The sequence below is a fragment of the Homo sapiens genome, chromosome 12 (assembly GCF_000001405.40).
Source record: "Homo sapiens chromosome 12, GRCh38.p14 Primary Assembly".
NCBI classification, from domain to species: domain Eukaryota; kingdom Metazoa; phylum Chordata; class Mammalia; order Primates; family Hominidae; genus Homo; species Homo sapiens.
The window spans coordinates 19,831,300-19,856,662 of NC_000012.12; the positions used below are offsets into that span (position 1 = coordinate 19,831,300).

A 25,363-nucleotide genomic window follows, 5' to 3' on the forward strand; every position below is an offset into this window, starting at 1 on the left:
TCAAACTTCAGTATTTTGTTGAAATGCATTTTGTTGCATTTGAAAACTTCTATGACCTTCTTCCTACGTTTCTCAAGATTTGCTAGAGGTAATAGCCACAAACTTATACTATAGTTAAGAGAGAATATTTAGTTTTCTAAAAATAGTGTTCTATAAATGTGCTTTCAATGATTTAAGCACAGATACTTAGATTATATCTGTAGATCTAGGACTTCCAGTATAAAGGGAGAGAAGTTGCATATAATTTATTGATATTTTAGGATACATGTTTTTTCCAAATGACTTAAGCCTCTTAAATGAATGGAGGGAAAAAGCTTTTTTAGATGTTCCAGCTTACATGGCTCTTCCAGGCCTCAGCTGCATTTTTAGGTTAAGATGGCCCAGTGAGGCCTGGCTTGATGGAACCCTGTTTTGTCCAGCCACTCTCTGTCTCACTTCTACCCCCTCTGTCCCTAGTACTTGTACTGATGCTTCTTAGGTAAAGACCTTTGCACCATTATGTTCTTTGTCCCAGGAATGATCCTTCTTTTACTATTACCCTGCCTAAAGTCTTCTCAAGCCTCAGCTTCTCAGCCTTTATCTTACTTCTTGGGTAAGCTTTGTCTGATCCTCCACTCCATCCTCTAGTTGTTCCTCCTTGGCTCACTCTCATGATAACCTGTAGATTTAAGGAAAAGTACTTACTTGTCTATTTTCTGAAAAGCACACGCCAAACTATAATTAAATACTTATTTTTCTTTTTATATTAGTCTGTAAGCTCTGGAGGGCTTTTCTCTCCCCAGTATCCTATAGGCTGGTAGAGGTTTTTGTTTGTTTGTTTTTCTTTTCTTTTCTTTTTTAAATTTTACTTTAACTTCTGGGATACATGTGCAGAACATGCAGGATTGTTGCATTGGTATACATGTGCCATGGTGGTTTGCTGCCCCTATCAATCCGTCATCTAGGTTTTAAGTCCCACATGCATTAGGTATTTGTCCTAATGCTATCCCTCCCCTTGCCCCCCATCCCCCGACAGGCCCTGGTGTGTGATGTTGCCCTCCCTGTGCCCATGGGTTCTCATTGTTCAACTCCCACTTATGAGTGAGAACATGTGGTGTTTGGTTTTCTGCTCCTGTGTTAGTTTGCTGAGAATGGTGGTTTCCAGCTTCATCCATGTCCCTGCAAAGGATATGAACTCATTCTTTTTTATGGCTGCATAATATTCCATGGTGTATATGTGCCACATTTTCTTTATCCAGTCTGTCACTGATGGGCATTTGGATTGGCTTCAAGTCTTTGCTATTGTAAATAGCGCTGCAATAAACATACGTGTGCATGTGTCTTTATAGTAGAATAACTCATAATCCTTTGGGCATATACCTAGTAATGGGATTGCTGGGTCAAGTGGTATTTCTGGTTCTAGATCCTTGAGGAATCGCCATACTGTCTTCCACAATGGTTGAACTAATTTACACTGCCACCAACAGTGTAAAAATGTTCCTATTTCTCCAAATCCTGGTAGAGGTTTTAAAATGTGTATTATCCATCAGTGGGTTCTAGGACCTAGCACAGTATGCACATTCTGGTAATTCAGGGAATAATGCATTACATTTTTTTCTTGTCTTTCTAAAATGATTGAAATCCTTTGTGAAAAGGGCATGGACACAGCATGCAGACAAACATGAGAAGTAATTGGCACCCAGTAGTGTAGGACTTGGTGATGCTGACATAAAATATTGTGGGACTATGAAAGATTTTAGAACAAATTCTCCAGTCGAATTTTTAGGCGATTAAAAAATTTGTATTGGTGGCATGCAAGACACTGTAGGCAATGTAAAAGCAAATATAGTGCATTGCTCACCTTGGCATTAATATTATATAGACTGTGACTTTAAATTCACCTAATCCATTCTGTGGTCTTAGTGCATATTGTTTTGCATTCGTTTGTGCTTCACATCACAGTGTATTAAGTTCAGTATGAGTTAAGGGCAATAATGTGTCAAATTCCATTTGCATCCTTTGACTTTATTTTAAGTAACTGAGTAATAAAAATCCACACCAATGTTCAGGAGATGACTCTGGGGCATGGTTCTCCATAGTATGTCCTAAGGTGCACACGGAGTCTGAAACCTAGTGATATTGGATTCAGAGGATTTGAGGCTGTGGGCCTTATTTTTACAAAGGAGAGTGCAAAAAACCCAAAAATTTATAGTTGAAAAGTTATTTTATATATATATATTTTTCAGAGAAAGAGAGGAAACTCTAACCTAACTAGTATCTGTAGTATCCAGTTAGTTTAAGTGATGACATTTCCTTGGGAACTGGGAAAGGAAGACTAATAACAATGACGATTAATTTTATGTCAGCTTGGCTAGGCCACAGTACCCAGATATTTGGTCAAACACTGGTCTGGAGGTTGTTGTGAAGGTATCTGTTACATGAGATTAACATTTAAATCAGCAGACTTTGAGTAAAGCAGTTGGCCCTCCATAATGTAGGTGGGCCTCTTTCAGTCACTTGAAGGCCTCAAGAGAAAAAGACTGACCTCTCCCAGGGAAGAGGAATTCTGCCAACAGACTGCTTTGAGATTCAAGTTGCAATATCAACTCTCCCCTGGGGCTTCAGTCTACTGGTTTACCCTGTAGATTTTGAACTTACTGGCTCCTACAAGGGTGAGAGCCAACTCCTTAAAAATCAGTCATTCTCTCCACACACACATACACACACACACACACCCACACCCACACACACACGGTTCCATTTTTCTAGGGAACCTTGACTAATATACTAAGCATGTCTAAAATGACATCTCTTAACAGTTTTTGTGGTTTTGTTTTCATAACTGTCATTTAAAACTTTCTTTGTGATTTACATACAAATCTTTTTTTAAGTTTCATTTTCTCTAAATTTCCATGTTGACAGTTTAAAGCCAAAAAATTTATAAATCTCCAGTCTAATCACATTTCTAGAAACAAAACATGTGTCAGTAGTAAATCTTATGCAGAATAAAATTTTACCCGTGAGCTGAGTCACCCACCAGACAGGATGCACCAAACCCTACCTTGTGTCCTCTTTAACTTTAGAGTATACAACAGCACCTCCTACCTTGGTGTGTACCCAAGCACACAATGCCTTAAAAATAATTTGCAGATACAAGGCTGGTTTTTTTTTTCCCCAAAAATGTACTCATATTTCCTCTTTTATTATATAAATACCAGTTCAACCTTTTATGGTAGTAAGAAATAAACATTTTAAGAAGATCTTTGTTATTATTTATACAAATTCACAAACAGGACGATTAATTGATGAATTTCTCTGGGTTTCTTTAACTCCATGGTCTTGTATGTTGCTGTGGAGGATTCTAAAAAAAAACCACAAAAAATACAACAAAAATATACATTCTACTCAAAAGTGATTTCTTTAAAGCCACAACTAGTTGTCCCTCACACCATTCTGTGCAGGGCAGTGAGGTGAATTGCCACATCCCAGCAAGAACTTTTTTTTTTTCTTCCTGGATTCTAGAGCATCTATGAATTGCATCACTGAAAGTTTCCCCTTCCTCCCCTTCCTACCAGAAGAGTGGAGAAACAGTGAAAAATCTGAAGGTAGAATTCTACTTTCAGACTCATCCAAAGGAGCTTCTAATTTGAGAAAGGCCATCACAGAGAAATGACTGGCACTGAATAAATAACTGAGACCTCTGTCATTCTGCTTGCTTCCGATTAATAACAGCCCCTGCTAAAACAAGGATGCCTCCAGAGCCCAGGTTCAGCATCTATGCCCTCCTTCTCACTAACTATTTTACCAGCCCCTGTCTTGCATGAGGTCTGCCCCATGCTCTTTGTATCCTCTCCCTTGGCTTTCCTTTATTCTTTATGGTCCTGCTAAAAGACTGGAGAGAATGTAATCCAAAGATTTACCGAACCCTTACTATATGTCAACTACTGTTGTAAGTGCTTGGGTTCTATGAAGAGGTAGTATTTTCATGTCACTTTTACAGGAGAGAAATATTTAGGAGTTTGAATAAGCTCCCCCGGGCCACATATCGTCATGGCAGAACATAGATTTGAACCAAACTAGTTTGAGTCTAGAGCTTATATTATTTACTATATTACTGTATTGAGCATTACAATAAGTGCTGAGGTATAAATCAATGATCCTAGCTTAATGTGCTATTTTTTTCCTATCAGATTTGAATTTTATGATAATGCTGATGGGATGAGCTAGATGGGATTTCCAGATCCTAGAATGAGATTAGGTATCCAAGAGGTGCTCAGGCTTTTCACAATAATTCTCTAATCATATCTGTAGATTGTATCTTCCTTTTCTCTTTCTATTAGTTTTTGAATTAATAATTGATTTACTTTTATTTGATTTATAGCAGCATTTATTTTATCTATTGCATAACAAGTTTTCCTAGCTTCCAAATTTTTGACTTATAGCAAGTCTAGGATTTCAGAATTAGACAGTATCTTATTGACAGAGAAAGATAATTTTGCCAAAAGTCATTTGATGTATTTCTGTGGTTCTTGTCAGCTCCATGGGCCTCATAAAAGAAATCAGAAATCCACCCTTCAATTATTGGAGAAGCACACTGAGGTTTGAAGGGGTTTCTCCTGGAAATTAATAATTCCTGTTCTTGTATTACAGATGAGAGATACGAATCTAGAAGGTGAGGTTGATAGGGAAGTGCTGGGAAAGGAAGAGCGTATTGCCTTTAAATGATACCTAAGGGGGGAAGGGACGAGCTGGGTAGAGGAGGGCGTGGTCCCTGGCTAGGTCTCTACCCCTACAGACCTAGTTGAGGACAGGCATTTCCTAAGACCACCCTGGCCTACCATGTCCCCATCCTGGTCCTATAAAAACCCGAGACCCTAGTGCGCAGACACACAGGCAGCCAGACGTCGATGGGAGCACATCGGCTGAAGCAGACACAAGCGGCCGGTCCTTGAGAGCCTGCTGGCAGAAGAGCATGGCAGGCACAGGCGGGCCAACAGGCCATCCACTGGCGGAAGATGCGGAGGCTGGGGCAGTCAGAGGAGAACCTGGGGCTGCCGAGCAGCCCAACTCCAGGGGAAGACCATCTCACTTCTGGCTTCCCCATCCTGGGAGAACTACTGCCATTCAGTAAAACTTTGCACTTATCCTCCAAGCCCACGTGTGATCCGATTCTTCCGGTTCACCAAGGTAAGAACCCAGGATACAGAAAACCCTCTGTCCTTGTGACCAGGCAGAGGGTCTAATCGGGCTTACTAACCGCTAAACTAAGCACCCTGTAATACATGGGCACTGGGGCTTCAGGAGCTGTAAACATTCACCCCTAGACACTGTGGCGGTCGGAGCCCCACAACCTGCCTGTCTGTATACTCCCCTAGAGGTTTGAGCAGCGGGGCACTGAAGAAGTGAGCCACAGCCCCTTTGCAGCCCCGCGAGGGGGACAAGGGAATCTTTCCTCTTTCAAGGTGATGAGTAGAGAAGCAGTTACTACTGATAGTTGAGTGCAATCTTAAAAGGATGAACAGGGGTTCTCATTGTTCAGTTCCTACCTATGAGTAAGAATATGCGACGTTTGGTTTTCTGTCCTTATGATAGTTTGCTCAGAATGATGGTTTCCAGCTGCATCCATGTCCCTGCAAAGGACATGAACTCAACCTTTTTTATGGCTGCATAGTATTCCATGGTGTGTATGTGCCACATTTTCTTAATCCAGTCTATCATTGATGGACATTTGGGTTGGTTCCAAGTCTTTTCTAGTGTAAATAGTGCCGCAATAAACATACGTGTGCATGTGTCTTTATAGCAGCATGATTTATAATCCTTTGGGTATATACCCAGTAACGGGATTAAATGGTATTTCTAGTTCTCAGGGAACATCACACCCTGGGGCCTGTCGTGGGGTGGGGGGGCAGGGGGAGGGATAGCATTAGGAGAAATACTTAATGTAAATGAGGAGTTAATGGGTGCAGCAAACCAACATGGCACATGTATACGTATGTAACACACCTGCACATTGTGCACATGTACCTAGAACTTAAAGTATAATAATAATAATGAAAAGGATGAACAGGAATGAACAAAGTGGGGAAAGTAGAAAGAAACTTCCAGGAAGGAGCAAGGAGATGGAAGTTTGAAATTTCCTGGAGTGTGGCGGCAACTGTGAGAGGTTTGTTCTGGCTGGAAGTGTGGGGAGTGTTGGGGGTGGCACAGGAGTCAGGAGCAAGATAATGATATCTATTGCTCTAAAAATTGAAGGGAACTGTTAACAGATTTTGAGGAGGCCATATGGTGAGAGATGCCTTTGGGGAAGACTAGTCCAGCAGAGCCTTGGCAGTGGACTAGTCGGGGGACAAGGTAAGATGCGGAGAGAGAACCTATGAGGCCATAGTTGATGTCAGTTTGTTTGCTTGGCATCCTGCCTCGTTTTGGTATCAGAACCCTTCCCTTTTTGGCTTAGTAACTGCTCCTCTCCTACTCCAGTTGATTTTTTGGGAAAACTTCCAGTCACAGTTCCCTACTCCTGACTCTGCAGTCAGAGAGAGGCATACATTTCCTAGGCATGGGCAGTGATGGTGTCCCATCCCTAGGCACTCTGATCTGTCCAAGCAACAGTGTGTGACTGCAGTTAGGTCCATCAAATTCTGAGGTTAGGATTTTAAAATATGCTTATATGGAAGACAGAGGCATTCTCTTTCTTTTAGGATTTCTAAACTGAAATGACGAATACCTGGGTCTTCCTCTGGCTGTTATATTGGTTTCTTATGGCATTAGGAAATAAATACCACAAACTGGGTGGCTTCTAAAATAGAAATTTATTCTCTCGTAGTTCTGGAGGCTAGAAGTTCAAAATGAAGGTGTCAGCAGGGTGGTGCTCTGAAGGTTGCAGAAGAGGATTCTTCTTTGTATCTTCCAGCTTGGTGGGTTCCCTTCGATCTTTAGCATTTCTTGACTTCTAGATGCATCACTCCAATATCTGCCTTCATTGTCACATGGCCATCTTCTTCCCGGATGTCTCTTTGTCCAAAATTTCCCTCTTCTTAGAAGAATACCAGTCACTGAATTAGGGCCCATCCTAAGTTAGTATGATCTCATCTTAACTTGATTATCTCTGCAAAGACACTATTTCAAATTAAGGTTACATTTACAGGTTCTGGGTAGACGTTAATTTTGGAGGATGTGGGAGAGGACTCTGCAGCCTAGGACAGCCTTCTTTCCTGATGCCCAGGTAAACTGATTGCAGTAGGACAGAAAAACACCGTAGTCCTTATTGAAACAGAGACGGCAGGTGGAGAGAGTCCTGGTTACTAGGCACTGTGTGCTTAATTGCACTGGATCCCACAGTTATTCTTTTCGTTTTATGGACTACCCAACTTTCCTTCTTTCAGAAAATTTTCTCCCTTCCCGATTGTTTCCTTAGGCTATATTGAGTTAGGTTTCTGTTCCTTCCTACTAAAACAATTCTGATAAATACAGGGATTATTGCACCATTCCAGGTGGATAGAGAAGCAGATCTGAGACATGGCCGTTGTAGTAGAAATTGCTTCAAGAGGAATTAAGAAGGTGGACTTAATAGAGCTTGCACTCTGTTTAAATGTTTGGATTAAAGGAGAGGAATGAGTCTACAGTAATTCTTGGGATGGCTGAGTAGATGATGGGGCCGTTCTCTGAGAAAGAAATAGAAGAGCATAAAAAGGCATGAAGTTTGGTCTTTGCCAACTTCTTTAGACTATTATTATTTATTAGCCTTCTGAAGCCTGTGATTTCTTGAGGGCAGGGAACATACTCGTATTTTAAAAAATCTGCAGTGCTGACCGGGCATGGTGACTTGTGCCTGTAATCCCAGCACTTTGGGAGGCCGAGGTGGGCAGACCTGAGGTCGGGAGTTTAAGACCAGCCTGACCAACATGGAGAAACCCCATCTCTACTAAAAATACAAAATTAGCCGGGCATGGTGGCACATGCCTGTAATCTCAGCTACTTGGGAGGCTGAGGCAGGAGCATTGCTTGAACACGGGAGGCGGAGGTTGCGATGAGCTGAGATTGTGCCATTACACTCCAGCCTGGACAACAAGAGCAAAACTCCATCTCAAGAAAAACAAAAACAAAAACAAAAAAACTGCAGTGCTTACAACAATATAGTAGGCAGATGGTGGGAGACACAATGTTGAATTAAAAATAAAAATCCACAGCTTGAAAGGCAAAATATCTCTCTGCAGCCAATAGAACATATGATCTATGTTCTAAAGCCTGAAAATGTTTGTACCATTATTCAGCTCCCTGGAGAATCCATCATTATATATAGAAGTTTGTATGCAATAGATTACTAGTTTCATATTTATATAATAGTCACTAAAATAAAAAAGAGAAAAAAACGTAAACTCATAGGGTCATCAACAGGGAGACTGAGTATATTTTAAAATGTTAACATAAGATAAAAGATTCCTTCTTCTTAGGACAAACAGGCTCAAGTATTTTAATTCCTCTGCCCTACATTTCTTTCTTTAAGATAGATAGTGACGGAAACTCCTTGAGGCTAAAATCAAGTTTCACAGTTACTTATAGCAACTAGTAGCCCAATTAGATACAATAGCAGCTCAATAATTGCTTGCTGATGATATCAGTGGAAGTCATTGATAACATAGGGATACTCTTCAGGTATCTCTTTAATAAGGAATTAATAAGGCCAGGCATGGTGGTTCACGCCTGTAAATCCCAGCACTTTGGGAGGCCAGGGTGGATCATTTGAAGTCAGGAGTTCAAGACCAGCCTGGCCAACGTGGTGAAACCCCGTCTCTACTAAAAATACAAAAATTAGCCGGGTGTGGTGGCGGGTACCTGTAGTCCCAGCTACTTGGGAGGCTGAGGCAGGAGAATTGCTTGAACCCGGGAGATGGAGATGGAGGCTGCAGTCAGCTGAGATCATGTCACTGCACTCCAGCCTGGATGACAGAGTGACTGTGTCTCAAAAAAAAAAAAAAACAACAAAAAAAAGCAATTAATAATATATGAGTATACTGCCTGAATGTTTATAATTCAGATTACACATCTTGAAATGTGCATTTAAGACTCATAAAACTCTGAGAGACAGTTTGGAACAAACACATTCAGTGATAAAATGAATATGTTGGTGTATGAATCAACCAATAGATTGAAAATGTGCTTTTATTTTTTATTTTCTGGAGGTGGTGGTAGTATTGGACGTGATACTAAAATCCTTTTATTAACTTGTGACATCAGTGACTACATTTGGTGCTTTGAAGAACAAGTTTTTGAATTTAAACCTCTACTGATAGCACAAGGAAGTTTGCTTGCTATTTATTTTTGCACAACACAGTTATAAAGGATTTTAAGAAATTAATATCAGTACACCAACAGCTGAATGACTATGTCCACTCAGTTTGACCATAAGGAAAATAAAACAGCTATAGGACCTAAAATCCAGCAATTATTTTACCGAATTTGACAACTTTTTATACTCTGTGAGAAATCATGTAAGTGAAATTTAAACTTTGTGTATATCATAGTCCTTTCTTTGTCCACATCATCTAGCAATTATTTGTCACTTCTGTAAACCAGAAAGCATGTTTATGAAAGCCAATAATATACATATTTAGTTAAATTTTTCTTGAGTCTCAGGCATTCTCTCAAGGCCTGAGAGCCTAGAATCTTCATGTGGTTAATTTAATAGGCTGGATTTGGGTAGTCCCTCATTCCCACTCTACCTCCTAAACATTTTCTTTCACAGACCGTAGCTTTCTCTCTCTCTCTCTCTCTTTCTTGGTCTCTCTCTCTCTCATTTCTCTATCATACAAGTTTTTTTTTAAAATCATTTCCCCGAGGTTACAAATAATGAGCTCAGTAAGATAAGAAATACTCGTGTGCAGCACTTTTAAAACCAAAATGATTTCATGTAATGAAATAACTCAAATGCTTCTAGCTACATTAAGTGACTCTCTAGGGGCCAGGCATTTTGGGAGAGACATTAGCTTCTAGGCCACTAAGTACCGTTTAAAGAAAGCAGTGTAGCAATTTGCCATACCATAGAGAATTGTATCTTGTAGTTTTGCACTATCTTCCAAAGGACTTACAGTGTTTATACACAAACCATCTCTTTTGTGCTAAAAACATTCCTAAGTATTATTCTGTATTAGTGTATTGTTTCCTAGGCACCTGGTATAATTCCTTCAATGGGAGATTATTTGGGCTCCTACTATGTGCCAGGCTGTGACTGAGTTTACAGAGCAATATGTAGCCCAGTACATATCTCTGGGTAGCAATCTACTGGGCAGAAAGACCTGAGCAATTTTTATGATAGGATGGCTGAGCCAGTAATAGGGGTGAATGCAAATGCTCTTGGATCACAGGAGACTGAGTAATTAACTGCTTGGAGGATGAGACTGTAAAACTTTTAGAGAGGAAACTATTGAGCAAGGTCTCAATGATCCAACAAAACACAGATGGAAATCTCTCTCTCTCCAACTTATTTTTCAGGTGGAAACATTCTTAATGTTCAACTTACTTCCAGAATTATGAAAAATGGCTTGGGGTATGTGTGTGTTGGGGGGATGTAGGGAGGATATCAGGAGAGTATCAGAATAATTTGGGGACCTTTGAGAAAAAATTATACACATCTCCCCAAAATTCTTCTATCCTCCATCCCCTTTTGAGAACCACTGTTAATGATGATGATGTATATCTGCTAGTTCACTCATGCTGTGCAGAAAAAATATTAATAATTTCTGACCTAGAGAGTTATTTCATCAGTTGGAAGAACTAGTTCAATGTGAAGTGCATTATTTTTGAACTTCTGTTTTTAAACTGTTTGCTCTATTAAATATATTTTACAAATGACATCTCCAAATTCAAAGGAAATATGTTACATAAATGAGGAAGAACATATTTGTTCATTCATAATGTAACAATAAATAACAGATAGGAGAGTAAAATCACTCCTTTTCTTTGGCTAAGGGAGCTGCTAGTTTTACTCATCGTCCCCAAAGACAGTACTAGTTGGAATTGCAGTTGGTTGAATTGAATCAGTAAGAATTTAAGAACTGTGAGATAAGCTATTGAGGAGAGTTACGGATTTGCTTTCATTTCTATAACAGCTCTGGTTTAGGAGAAATCTTTCTTAGACATGAGGGATGGTGAGGTCCCTGCGTGAGCAGTCAGAAAATCTAGGTGCTGATCTTGGCTATGAAACAAAATATCCCTGTCATTTAACCATTTGGAGATTCATTTCCTTAAGCTCTAAGATGAAGTGTTTGGATTAATAACATCTCAATTCTTCCCCGCTGTAATATTTTATAATTATGTGATTGTGTAAACGAGGTGAAACTTTTCATAACATTTTATATTGGAATGCTCATTTGTTCATTGAGTTCCCTCTGTCGGTTACGTATTTTCCCCCTCTCCTCTGCCTGAGAAATTACATTGTTCAAGACTCAGGAACAAAGAAAAGAACTGATATATTTTGAATATTATCTTTGTACTAGATAACATGATAAATTGGGTGACCATGTGCCTAGGTTTATGCCCCTTGTCCTGGTGTAATTTTTAATAGTATCTTCTTATATTCTCAAATGGATCCTCGTTTGGACGATGAATTATATGATGATCAGGGCTTTAGCCAAAATTACTTAATTTAACCCTCACAGCAATTCTGTGAGGTGGATGTTATTACCCCTACTTTTCAAATGAAAAACTATCACTTGGAAAATATTAAGGAATTTAAAGTTTCATTGCTTATAAGTGACTGAGTAATTTTATCCTGGTGTTCTGACTTCAGATGTGTTCAGTGTACCTTGATGCTCAGATCAAGTGTCACTGTTTATGGAAAACTGTTGCCAACCCAATCCTCCACATTGTTTCTCCTAGAGACCCGTGGGCTTGTATTTACTGCTGAAGAATTACATTATACACATAAACATGTGCATGTCTGAGGTTTCTCTCATTGGACCCTCTTCCATCCTGAAAACAAAGACCCTGTTCTATTTATGACAGTGCCAGCAATGTTTAGAACGGGTTGACTGTGCACATGTTTATATGTACCCACATTGTATTTAGTAGCGTGCTTGCTGATAAAGGATGAAGAGACTTAGTGTCCAGTTTGAGCTTCTAGACATGTTAGCTATGTGACTTTGAACAAATTTTATTTTTTTCTGAGCCAGATCCTATCTAAATTTCAGAGGTTGGAAAGATTGGTGGGGGTAATGTAAGACAAGAAAAAGAGTTCTAGGCCGGGTGCGGTGGCTCACACCTGTAATCATAGCACTTTGAGAGGCCGAGGTGGGCGGATCACCTGAGGTCAGGAGTTTGAAACTAGCCTCAACATGGAGAAACCCCGTCTCTACTAAAAATACAAAACTAGCCGAGTGTGGTGGTGCATACCTGTAATCCCAGCTACTCGGGAGACTGAGGCAGGAGAGTTGCTTGAACCTGGGAGGCGGAGGTTGCAGTGAGCCAAGATCGCACCATTGCACTCCAGCCTGGGCGACAAGAGTGAAACTCTGTCTCAAAAAAGAAAAGAAAAAGAGTTCTATTTGTAGAATGCTTCTCTTTGTCAGGTACTGCACTAAACCCTTTAGAAGAGTTAGTCTTTACCAGGGCCTCCATGATAGGGATCTTATGGGGTTTGAAATGTTGACTGTCTTGCCCGAGGTTACAGAGCCAAGAAATAGTATGTAGAGACAGGGCTCAAACCCACCTACCTGAAAAATGCTTTTTTATGTTGAAATTCCATGTCCAAAGGTAGTAGAAACAGCTGAAGGAATCTTGGGAGTTCTCAGCTAAAGGGTTTTAATGTTAAGTGTTAAATTTGTGTTTTGCAGTCTGCTAGGAATCAGCAGCTTTTTCATTTCCTTCATTTACAGGCATTGCTCTCTAAAATTGCTTGTATTGCAGGACCAGAAGTCAAGCATCTGATCTAAGTGAAACTCTGAAAGCCTCTTTCTGACTATGCTTCCAACAGAACTATGGGTACTATTGCATAGCTGAAGGCAATATTGTATGAGGTTTGAGCCCAGATTTTGGAATAGGTAACTGATAATAATGCTCCTCACATTGAGTCAGTGAGGATTTTTGCAGACACTTTGTGGTGCTTAATTTTATGTGACAATTTGACTGGGCTAAGGGATGCCCCGAGAGCTGACACAGCATTATTTCTGGTATGTCTGTAAGTGTGTTTCTGGAAGAGATCAGCATTTGAACCAGGAGACTGAGTAAAGATCATCCCCTTGTGAATTTAACCTAAAATTAGAAAAGGAAAAAAAAGGATCCCTCTCACCAATGTTTGTGGTGATCATCTCATCTGCTAAGAGCCAGGTTAGATAAAAAGGCAGAGGAAGAGTGAATTTACTCTGAGCTGGGACATCCATCTTCTCCTGGCCTTGGACATTGGTACTCCTGGTTCTTGAGCCTTTGGACTCAAGCTAGGACATGGAACATTGGCTCCTCTGGTTCTTAGGCCTTTGAGTTTGGACCAGAACTACGCCATTGACTTTCCTGGGCCTCTGGCTTGCAGATAGCAGTTTGTAGGACTTCTCAGCCTCTGTAATTTCATGAGCCAACTCCTCATAATACCTCTCTTTTGATATATCTATATATATAATATTGGTTCTGTTTCTGTGGAGAACCTTGATGAATACAAAAGGATAACTGATAACAATGCTCTCTTGACTGAGTCAGTGAGTAATTTCATAATGAAAAGTTAACGTGCTTTCTGGGCTTGAAGAATTCTTTCTTTAAAAAATAAGTATAAAAATTAAACTTGAGCATAACAACAACAAGAACAAACAACAACAAAATCCTTTGGTTACAATAATTCCATTACTGTAAAGCAATACACTGCCTCTTATCCAAGCCTGCTTTTGGATGTTGAGGTTCCACTGAGACAGCCTAAGGGTGTACAGCATTTTGTACAGTGCTTTATGTGAGGGTAGGTGCTTAATAAGAATTCATTGAAAGACAATCAATATGTACAGATGATTCAAACAATTTGAAGTTGTTTCATTCAGTGGCATTTGCTTTTTTATTTTAATTTTACTTTAAGTTCTGGGGTACACGTGCAGAACGTGCAGGTTTGCTACATTGGTATACATGTGCCATGGTGGTTTGGTGCCCCTATCAACGTATCATCTAGGTTTTAAGCCTCACATGCATTAGGTATTTCTTCTAATGCTATCCCTCCCCTTGCCCCCCACCCACCAACGGGCCCCAGTGTGTGATGTTTCCCTCCCTGTGTCCATGTGTTCTCATTGTTCAACTCCCACTTATGAGTGAGAGCATACAGTGTTTGGCTTTCTGTTCCTGTGTTAGTTTGCTGAAAATGATGGCTTCCAGCTTCATCCATGTCCCTGCAAAGGACATGAACTCATTCTTTTTTATGGCTGCATAGTATTCCATGGTGTATATGTGCCACATTTTCTTCATCCAGTCTATCATTGATAGGCATTTGGGTTGGTTGCAAGTCTTTGCTATTGTAAATAGTGCTGCAATAAACATACTTGTGCACGTGTCTTTGTAGTAGAATGATTTATAATCCTTTGGGTATATACCCAGTAATGGGATTGCTGGGGCAAATGGTAATTTCTGGTTCTAGCTCCTTGAGGAATCACCACACTGTCTTCCACAATGGTTGAACTAATTTACCCTCCCACCAACAGTGTAAAAGCATTCCTATTTCTCCACAGTCTCTCCAGCATCTGTAGTTTCCTGACTTTTTAATAATTGCCATTCTAACTGGCATGAGATGGTATCTCATTGTGGTTTTGATTGGTGTTTCTCTAATGACCAGTGATGATGAGCTTTTTTTCATATGTTTGCTGGCCACACGTATGTCTTCTTTTGAGAAGTTTCTGTTCGTATCCTTTGCCCACTTTTTGATAGGGTTGTTTGTTTTTTTCTTGTAAATTTGTTTCAGTTCCTTGTAGATTCTGGATATTAGAGACATTTGCTTTTTACTAGAGGAAAATGCCTTTATTCTGGGATTCTTAGTATGAGGTCTATAAACTGTTACAATCCTATAGATGAGTTTCATGAACTAAAAAATCTTCTGCACATTTGCCAAATTGTACATATAATCATCTTTTTAAGAAACCAAGTTCATAATTTTTATCAGAATCTCAAAGGCATTTTCCCTTCATACTTACTTTAATGCGCACCCTTCCAATATCTTACACCTCTTAAGTCCTACCTGAGTTGGTATCTGTCCACTTACCTACCTAGAAGAGAGTTTCTTTGTTATGCAACAAACACTGCAACTGTAATGCTAAATGAAAAAAAAAATTGATTTATGTAAGCTGGCCTGTGTCGTTTTTGTGATATCTGGCCTTACTTCTAAGATACTCTAAAATCATTAGAGATAACATGACTGTGGGCCTGAAAAGTTTCTATAGGTATTTTCTTTTTGAACCATATACTAAACATGGTTGAGTAAAGATCATTTGTCTGTCAGCCTTACTAAAGATAAAATGGAATGTGGAGGTTGGTTGCTCAAGAATGAATCATCTCCTTACCGCTAGAATTATTCCCCTCAGCAAAAGGTATGCTGTGCTTAGTTGAGAAAAACGTGGAAGCTGCTAGATTTTAGGTTATAGAATTTTTAGTCTCTATCATTCAACACTTGAAATAGAAATGTTCTGGTAGTGAAGCTCACAAAAATATAAGCAGTTCTCATAAAGAAACAGGAAATTTAATGTGTGTGATTATTTCCACTATGTTAATTTACAGCAAAAAATGGCCTATTTTTTTTCTGTCCACTTTGGAGTTGAAAGGAATATTTTTAAAAACCCAAGTTAGTGGAATTTTTAAACCAGTTTTGATCGTGAATATTTTAGTCTAAATATTTCTCTCTGGAAATAATCAAGATTGTTTACAGTTTTAAAGTTGTTTCAGAACAGTATCAGGATTAATTAATACAGTTAATATGTCAAATTTCTTTTGAAATATTCAAGCTTTGTTTGAGTTTTATTTTTCTGCCCTGGATGCCTGAGAAATTGAAAGAGTGTAAGAACAGTTGGCATAGACCTTTCCTTCTTGAATTCAGTTAAGCTTATCACAAACTATGTCATGGCCAGAGCTTAACGCGTTGTTCCCCTTCCAGAAAACTATTTGCCAAATATAACACAGTTCAGATGGTGGGAAAACTGTGAAGCGTTCACATTTAACCTAGACTTCTCCCCCAGTGTACAAGTTTAGAGATGAAGAAAACATGCTGATAAATCAGCATACCTGCCCGCCACCTCCCCCACTTCTGAAAACCACAAAAGCAGAAGCAGCCATTATTGGATCCTTGACGTGGAGTTTTCTGCTCTGAGCCTATTTGGAGCTGTCGGTTAACAATTTGAAACAACATGTGAGGGTGAAGGGTGCCTGGATGGATAACTATGAATGTTATTTAAAAAATATGATGCTGCCTAAAGACTACAGCCAGCTATCTGGCCTGTGAATGTGGAGACTCTTTCATCTTCGTCTCATTTGGTAATTAGCACACTGACCCTGTGCAGACTAGAAGCATAAAAAAACATTTTGAAAAGTGCAGAGGAAGAAGGAGGATTAAGACAAACATTTATATAACCAGGAAAAATGACCCAGGAAAGACGGGAAATCTGGTGACACTCTGTTTATCCACAGTAATGTTAAAATAGTTTGCAAGTGAAACAAAGCAGATCCCTTGAATAAATCACTGAGAAAGTAGAAGGATCGACCAACAGCCAAGATCATGTCACGAGCTATCCGTGTGATGTGATCCTCCCCTATTATACCAGACTGATGGCTTTCCATTGAATATCACCTCTCTCTTTTGTCTCTCCAGCTTTTTCCATCATGGAATTATGTGAAAGTGGGCTGCTGTAAATAGGAATTGGAAGGGGTTGAAGACGGCATAAATTATTAGGAAAGGGGAGAGTATCAGGATGTTTGGGCTCTAATTAACACCCAAACATTAATTTAAATCAGAGGCAGTTTAATGAATGTTGAATATCTGAAAAAAAAAAACTTCATAGCAATTTCATGAGGGGCAAAATCTCAGTTGTTTTTCTAGGTCATCTGCACTATGAGAAGATTTGCTCTTCTGAGGTTAGCAAAATTGGTGTTGGTCTCTGTCTAAAAGCTGAAGCAAGCCAGGTGTGGTGGTGCACGCCTGTAGTCCCAGCTACTTGGGAGGCTGAGGTGGGAAGATCACTTGAGCCCAAAAGTTCAACTCCAGCCTGGATGACATAGCATAGACCCCTGTCTCTTAAAAAATCAAAAGCTGAAGCATACAAGCTATCAGAAAGTTAACTGAACTTTCTTAACTTTTATATAAGTGGCTTTGGTTCAGTGCCAGGTAATTATCTCCAGGGAAAGATAAGCTCTTTTGCAAGCAGTTTTCAAAAGTTTGATGGTCTAACTGCTTGCCAGTTAGATGCTAAGAGCCCTAGCCTGGCATGATGAAGGATGCCGCTTATTTGTAAACCACATTCTTCTGTCATCAGGATTCCGAGAGAAGTCTGTGGAATGGTTTACATGGACTTTGCATTTATGCATTCATTTATGAATAGAATTGCTCAGGTGTGGAAGAGACAAGCAAACAACAGTTCCTTGTCCTCAAGAAACTCATCATCTGTTAGAGAAGTAAAAATTTAAATAATCATACAAATTGAGGAAGTACAAAATGTGAAAAAGACTAATTAAATGACAAATTAGCATTTTAAGTAATAATTGCTCTGAATTCAAGGGAGGTAGAGATCAAACAGGCTAGAGTAATTATGAAAGTTTTTGTGGAAGACAGGGGCCTTTCATACCACCTCACATTCATATAGTGCTTTATGGAAACGTGGATTTTACATACATCATCTCTTATTTGAGTTTCACGTTTTTACTGCCATTTAAAGTTGAGGAAACTTAGGCCTCGAGAGAGAGGAAATACTGGCTAACTTTCACACAGGTAGTAATGAGTCCTCACATCCAAGTTTTTCACTTAAAGTCCAAGACTATTTCTGCAGCTCTGGGGCCTCCTTAGTAAATAGGTAATATGCTTAATCTTCATTACTTGAAATTTGCCAACTGCTCATGTTTATTTGCAACCCTCAAATCAATACTTGTGATCCATTTGCAGTCATTTGAGGTCATATGCAGAGGGGTGAAAGAGTTCACTCGCCCAACGGGCACACTCCTAGCTGAGGCCAAACAAGGTGACACTCTGCCTTATTTCTGTTCTCATGCTATAAACAAGTGTCCTTCTTGCAGTCTACTTAGTGCCAGACTTTTAGCATTTTTGTACTTTTTGTTGATGATTTCCCTGTTTAAACATCCCCCAAGCATAGTGTTGGAGTGCTGTCTAGTGTTCCTAACCACAAGGGGACTATGATGTGTCTTGTGGAGAAAATGTTGTGTTAGATAAGCTTCATTCAGGCATGGTCACAGTGCTGTTGGTTGTAAGACCAACGTTAATGAAATAACACTATATATGTTAAATATGATGTCGTTAAACAGAAACACACATAAAACAAGGTTATGTATTGATCAACTGACAAAAATGTTGTGACCAGAGGCTGGAAGGAACCTAACCCTATATTTCCTCTAAGAGCAATTTTTTCGTATTCACTAATTAAGTGTCCAAGGTGACTTTATAGAACATAACTACCACAAATAACAATCATTAACTGTACTTACATTGAGTGGAAAAATGTTGGGAGGCTATTGTAGGCAAGAAAATAGTTTGAGCAAATGAATAGAGTTGGATAAATTAGTCATTGTTTAAAATAGAGAACAGGCATTGCTAACTGGAATCAAGGTGCAAGAGCAATTGCAGTAGATAAGGTTTAAGATGCCAGATTGTGGGGGGTCCATTATATCCAGCTGATGATTTTGGACTGAATCTTGTAAATGGATTTGGAGCAAGGATGTCATAAAAACCTCTCTGGGAGAAAAAGAATTTGGTAGGGATGAGCAGGAAGAATTGGGCTGGGAAAAAAGGCAGCAAGGAGAGTTCTCGCTATGCACCCGCCTCAGCTGACAGGGATTTATTGGTGGAACAGGAAGCCAGTCCTCTCCAGGACTTGATGGTTGATACTGAAGCCACAGAGTGAGGGAGAAGCTGACAGAGGTGAAGCCATTTCAGGGAACTGGAGGAAGGTCAGGGAGAAAATTCAAAATAACAAGGAAGGCAATTTAGGAAAGATCCTTAACTGAATGACGAGCCAGTGTAAATTTTGAAGTCTGTGGGTGGTGTGGTTGCACTCCTTCATGTGTGTGAAAACAAGGTTCTGAGAAGACTAGGCAACCCCAGGGGTAGCCATGGAGACTGTGGAAAACAATTCCAAATATGTGTGTTTAGTTTCGGGAGCTGGCTCATCTGGATCCCTGTGTAATTTAACAGTTATAGCAAATTTCTAAGTCAAGAAGAACCAGACTATTCCTTGTTAGGCTTATCTTTTCTTAGGGCTATTATTTGAAGTTCATCGTTTTCCATTCAGTTTCAAATCTTGTATCAGAACACACGTATGCTCACACAAGCACATGCACGTGCACACACACACGCACATGTACAAGCTGTTCTGTGGCACTCAATGAACCATGTCAGTACAGTACATAACAGCTGCAAAAAAAAGTCAGCGGCTGCTCCGAAATCACAGTGGGCAATGTCTGACATATTGAGAGTGGCAGCTTCAGATTTCTGAGGCGGGCTGCCCTGAAGCAATCTCTTAATATTTATCTTGTAATATTTCCGTTAAAATTGACTTTCAAAAAGTAAGTGGAACGAAACTACTCATGAGTCACTGAGGTTTTATTTTTAATAAACCTGGATAAGTATGCCTCTCTGGGTTTTTAATTTCAGAAGAATTAGGCATCAAGATAAGTTAACATGACACTCATGTTTTTCCTCTGCAACTGAAGGTTTTTCAGTCTTGACCAGGAATCTCAAACTACCAATGTGAAAATAGGTCTCTCATCAGGAATTGAGTTTTGCCCTAGAATTCTCAAACTTAAATACAATTTCCTCAGGAAAGACTCTCCTTCATCCTCATTTAGAATCAATCATTGCCTCCTTAAACTCCTTCAGCTCTTGCCTGCATTAGACTATGGTGCTTTTCATCATCTGATTAGTTTTAGCAGTGTTTGTATATGTGTCTTTTCTCTTGATTGTCAGCCCCTGCAGGTCAAAAGCCATATCTTGTTTATCTTTCTATATCCCACTCTCCCTGGTGTAGTTTTTTGCTCAAAGGAGGTACACTGTTGAATTGCTTGGGAATAACTCACCCACCACAGAAACATCGGTTCTAAGTAATCCAGTTGGTGTTACTAGTCATCTGAGGCTGCCTGTAGGTGAGAATGAGTTTCTCATCTTCTTTGTAACAAAGAAGATATATTTTGTGAAATAATGTCTAATTATTTGAATAATGAGAAATGATATCAATGGATTAATCCTTTCTGCAGGAATTTTTTTTTTTTTTTTTTGCCTAAGCAACGTGTTATACAGGGCAGCCTCAAAGATTAACAAAGAAAACGTGGTAACTCTGAGGAGGGTCTACTAGGATTACAGGAATGAGGGTTCACTCTTTGGGAGGGAAAAACAAAAAAGGGGAGGAAAATGGGAAAAGGAGAGCTTCTTTATAGATTATTTTTAAGGTCTCAATTCTGCTAATGACATCCACATGACTTTATTTTAATTAATTAATTCACTTATTTATTTTCCTGCACTTCCCAGTAACAAACACATAACTTTATGTCTACATAAAGACATCCTTGGTTTACCTCCCTAAGACACACACAGTCAACACAGGGAGTTAACCATATCAAGTATATGTCTAGGGCCACAATTCAGCTTTCAAACACATCTCATCTTCTGCCTTTCATTGAATTCACATGCTTTTCAAATAATACAGAAATAACATTAGAAACAGAGTCAACTCATATGAGTTCATTTTTCTTTATTTTGAAACTCACCGTGACTGACAAAGTCGCTAGCTTTGCATTTCTTACTTATACTCCCTACATTCTTGCACCCACTCAACCTCTCAACCAGTGTTTGTGGAGTGAGCACTCCATGCAATGCCCAGGGCTAGCCAAAGAGATAAACAAATTTCACAGTCACAGACTCAGGCGTCAGTCAATGTAATGTTAGATTCCTGTAATCAACTTAATTTCTGAGTGCTATCCTTCCTGACACAGAAGTAGTCAAGGAACTTTGAAGTAAGCTAGTCAAATTTATGGATTTCTCGGTGTACCCAGGTTTGTATTTCACTTACTTGCTTAGTTTACTTTCTTTTTCTCTCTCTCTCTTTCCTCCCTGAGTTGACTCTGTCAGCCTCCATCCCTGTTGTAACCATTGAGATGTCTGGAAATATGCCTTAATTAGAACCTAAGTAATCTTTTGCCTAATCTCTTGCCATACCGACAGGTCATACTCTTATCTCACCAACATCTCATAAAATCCAGAATGGACCACATTCCTACTGTATTTCACAGAATGAAGTGGAGACTCTCTAGCATTGCATTTGTCAGAATCCTTGTCTAATGGAAGAGATAGCCATGTCTCCCACCCTATCCCTTCACAGACTGGAAGCCAAGGGGTATATTTCTTTTGTCTCTTGGTTTGACTCTGCAACCAGAGTCTTTTCTCCTGTATCTTGACTTCATTCCTTGCTGTCTGTTCTACACCAGCTCTTGTTGTTGTCAACTTCAACCTAGTATTAGGGCCTTGCTTCCAGATCACTCCTTTTACTTGATGGTTTATGTATTAGTCAGTGTGGGTTGCCGTAACAAAATACTACAGACTGGGGGGCTTACGCAACAGAAATTTATTTTCTCACAGTTCTGGAGGCTGGAAGGCCAAGGTCAAGGCGTTGGCAGCATTGGTTTCTCCTGAGGCCTCTCTCTTTGGCTTGCAGATGGCTGCCTTCTCACCATGTTCTCACACGGTCTTTCCTCTGTGTGTGAATATCCCTGGTCTCTCTTGTGTGTTCAGATATCCTGTTATAAGGGTGCCAGTCAGACAGGATAAGGGTCTACCCTAAAAAAAAAACAAACGCTCATTTTTAACTTAATCACTTCTTTAAAGGCCTTATCTCTGATACAATTTCATTTTGGAGTACTGGGGGTTAGGGCTTTAATATATGAATTTTGAGGGGACTCAATTCAACTCATAACAGTTTGCTTTCAAAGTTGTTGACCCAGGATGATAACCCATCTTTGATTAACGATTAACCTGTTTTTAGCAATGCAATAAAAAAGGCCTATATGCTTTCCATTGAAACTAATTCTTAACCTGTGGGGTTTCTTTTTGTTTTTGTTTTTGTTTTTTTTTTTGTTTGTTTTTTTTTTTTTTTTTGACAGAGTCTTGCTCTGTCACCCAGGCTGGAGTGCAGTGGCTCTATCTTGGCTCACTGCAACCTCTGCCTCCCGTGTTCAAGCAGTTCTCCTGCCTCAGCCTCCTGAGTAGCTGGGACTACAGGTCTGCACCACCACGCCTGGCTAATTTAGTAGGGACGGGGTTTCACCATATTGGTCAGGCTGGTCTTGAACTCCTGACCTTGTGATCTGCCTGCCTCAGCCTCCAAAGTGCTGGGATTAGAGGAGTGAGCCACCATGCCCAGCCTAACCTGTGTTTTTATAAGGAGTTCATTCACTGTAGTAGACACCTTCCAATTGCACTGAAAGATTATATTTCAATTAACATCTCTAAACACATGAAACATTAACCTGGTATGTGTAATTGTAGAAGATTTTCTCTTTCTTCCAGAAGAATTGATTACCACCAAAGGAAGAACACCAGATTTACTTGGTTAGTGCTTCGATATTGTATACCAAATTCTTTTTTCCAGGAAAACAAATAAAATGAATGACACTATGGTTGGAACAGTATTCATGCTGTAAAACTGTCACATGAGTTGGTTGATACAAAGTAAAAAGTAATTTAATAAATGATTTTTAAAGGCTACATTGAAATTGGAAAAAGATTGAAAAATCACTATTTTGGTGGAGGGGGATAATGCTTTTATGTGTTTACATTTTCCATTAAGGCTGTCAAATGAAAAACAAACCCTGAGAATTCTAGATCAAAGGGACCTTAATATGATGACTCTCCTAAGTGTGGTGAAGGATGGAGCTGCTGTTTCACTTTTAGCACAGCTTGAAGTCCAGCTTCTCCTCTCTGTGTTAGATAAAGTGCCTAGGAAGGGAAGGGGACACTTCAGAAGTCAGTAATGATAGGAAACAGGATAATGAGAGCCACATTTACTGAGGGAACATTTTCATTAGACAGCTCATGACTTGAAAGCAGCAATCATTTAATAACCCTTTCTGCTTCTCTCCAGCCACCAGCCCCACCGCCCCCGCTTCCACGTACATTTTTTTTTTTTAGTGACAATTCTTTTTTTTTCTTTATTCTAAAAAAAACAAAAAAACCAAAAACAGGCTACATGTGCAGAACGTGCACGTTTGTTACATAGGTGTACATGTGCCGTGGTGGTTTGCTGCACCTATTGACCCACCCTCTAAGCTCTCTCCCCTCATCCCCCACCCACAACAGGTCCTGGTGTGTGTTGTTCCCCTCTCTGTGTCCATGTGTTCTTAATGTTCAACTCCCACTTAGGAGTGAGAACATGTGGTGTTTAGTTTTCTGTTCTTGTGTTAGTTTGCTGAGGATAATGGCTTCCAGCTTCATCCATGTCCCTGCAAAGGACATAATCTCATTCCTCTTTATAGCTGCATAGTATTCCACCATGTATAGGTACCACATTTCCTTTATCCAGTCTGTCATTTGTGTGCATTTGAGTTGGTTCCAAGTCTCTGCTATTGTGAATAGTGCTGCAATAAACATACGTGTGCATGTGTCTTTATAGCAGCATGATTTATAATCCTTTGGGTATATACCCGGTAATGGGATTGCTGGGTCAAATGGTATTTCTGGTTCTAAATCCTTGAGGAATTGCCACATTGTCTTCCACAATGGTTGAACTAATTTACATTCCCACCAGCAGTATAAAAGCGTTCCTATTTCTCCACAGTCTCTCCAGCATCTGTTGTTTCCTGACTTTTTAATAATTGCCATCCTAACTGGCATGAGATGGTATCTCATTGTGCTTTTGATTTGCATTTCTCTGATGATCAGTGATGTTGGGCTTTTTTTCGTATGTTTGCTGGCCACGTAACTGTCTTCTTTTGAGAAATGTCTGTTCATATCCTTTGCCCACTTTTTGATGGGGTTGTTTGTTTTTTTCTTCCACATACATTTTGAAGTTGCTTCATTGTACTTATTTTACTCTTATGTCCTTAAAAAATTCATGACCAATTTAAATTGTACTTTTGTGAAGACATATTTGATCAAGTGCAGGTGTTCCGATTGCTAAATGCAGGAAACAGAATGTAAATAGTGAAAGCCCAGGGTCATTTTTCTCTAACAGAGCTCTCGCCATTCCCACTTTCCTTCTGGGTAAAAAGCGATGTTCCGTGAGGCTGAGGCATGGGGAATGGGTATTTGATTCAGTGCAGCAGTGTCTCTCTCCCTCAGCACAGGAAAAGAGGAATTTTGTATGATTTTGCCTTTTATATCATAAATGTTAACTTGAAACCTCAAATAACAGGAGGTACTCTTTCAATCTCTCAATCTCGAATGTTGTCATATTATTTACAGTTAGAACAGACATAGCCATCAAACAACACTAGCATGAAACCTTCTTCCAAGTCTCATTGCAGTGAAAATCCACTCTTCCCTCCCAACTTCATTCTTTTCCGTTTGTGCATCTTACAGGGGCCAGCAGATGAAGCTTTGCAATGTCATGGAAAGGAGCATTTCTGTCAGCTCTGTTTCAAAATCCAATAGGAAGAAGTATTTTTCTTTTCTTGCTCTTTCTTCCTCTCTTGTGGTTTTGGCTTTCTAGCTTGGTTGTTGAACAGATCCAAGGGGTTCAGATGAGATGTTCTTTCCTGTCAAACAGGATCCCAAAACCTTTTGAGGTTTCTCAAGGACTTGTCTCTATAAGCCGACGAGTCTGTTCTCTTTCTTCACTGTTGCCAGAAAAGTAATTAGGCCATTTTTCTAATTATAGTAATCTTCCCCAAATGGCATATAACTTCAATCCAAATGCCATGTAAATTGGCCAGCAACATTCTGCCATGAAGCACTTTACCAAGACCATTTGAACGCAGCAGCTTTACTTTGTGTTAAGGCAAAGTTGTCTTCTCTATCCCAGTTATGACTGGGTTTTCTTTCTCAGTGTCTTGCTCAAGAGGTTACAGTATTTTTTTGTGTGACGAGCATGGACGGTAAGTATTCCTTTCAATGGCATTTTGTGTAGAGTTGTGTCTGTGGTGGACAAATTAAACGGCTTTTGGAAAAAAATGTTTATTCTCAGTAAAGCAGAACAAGATTAAATTGTTATCATGTTGCTATAGCGACCAAAAT

At 39.6% G+C, this 25,363-nt stretch overlaps 1 long non-coding RNA gene across 1 annotated transcript; it reads right to left on the reverse strand.

The window, feature by feature from the left end:
- Window positions 1-230: 230 nt before the first annotated feature.
- LOC105369682 (uncharacterized) lies at window positions 231-19,141 on the reverse strand. The gene is made up of 4 exons (XR_931409.3): window positions 18,631-19,141; window positions 12,687-12,764; window positions 12,367-12,485; window positions 231-658 (listed from the first exon to the last, which is right to left on the reverse strand). It is a non-coding gene; the product is annotated as an uncharacterized LOC105369682 (long non-coding RNA).
- Between the last annotated feature and the right edge of the window lie 6,222 nt (window positions 19,142-25,363).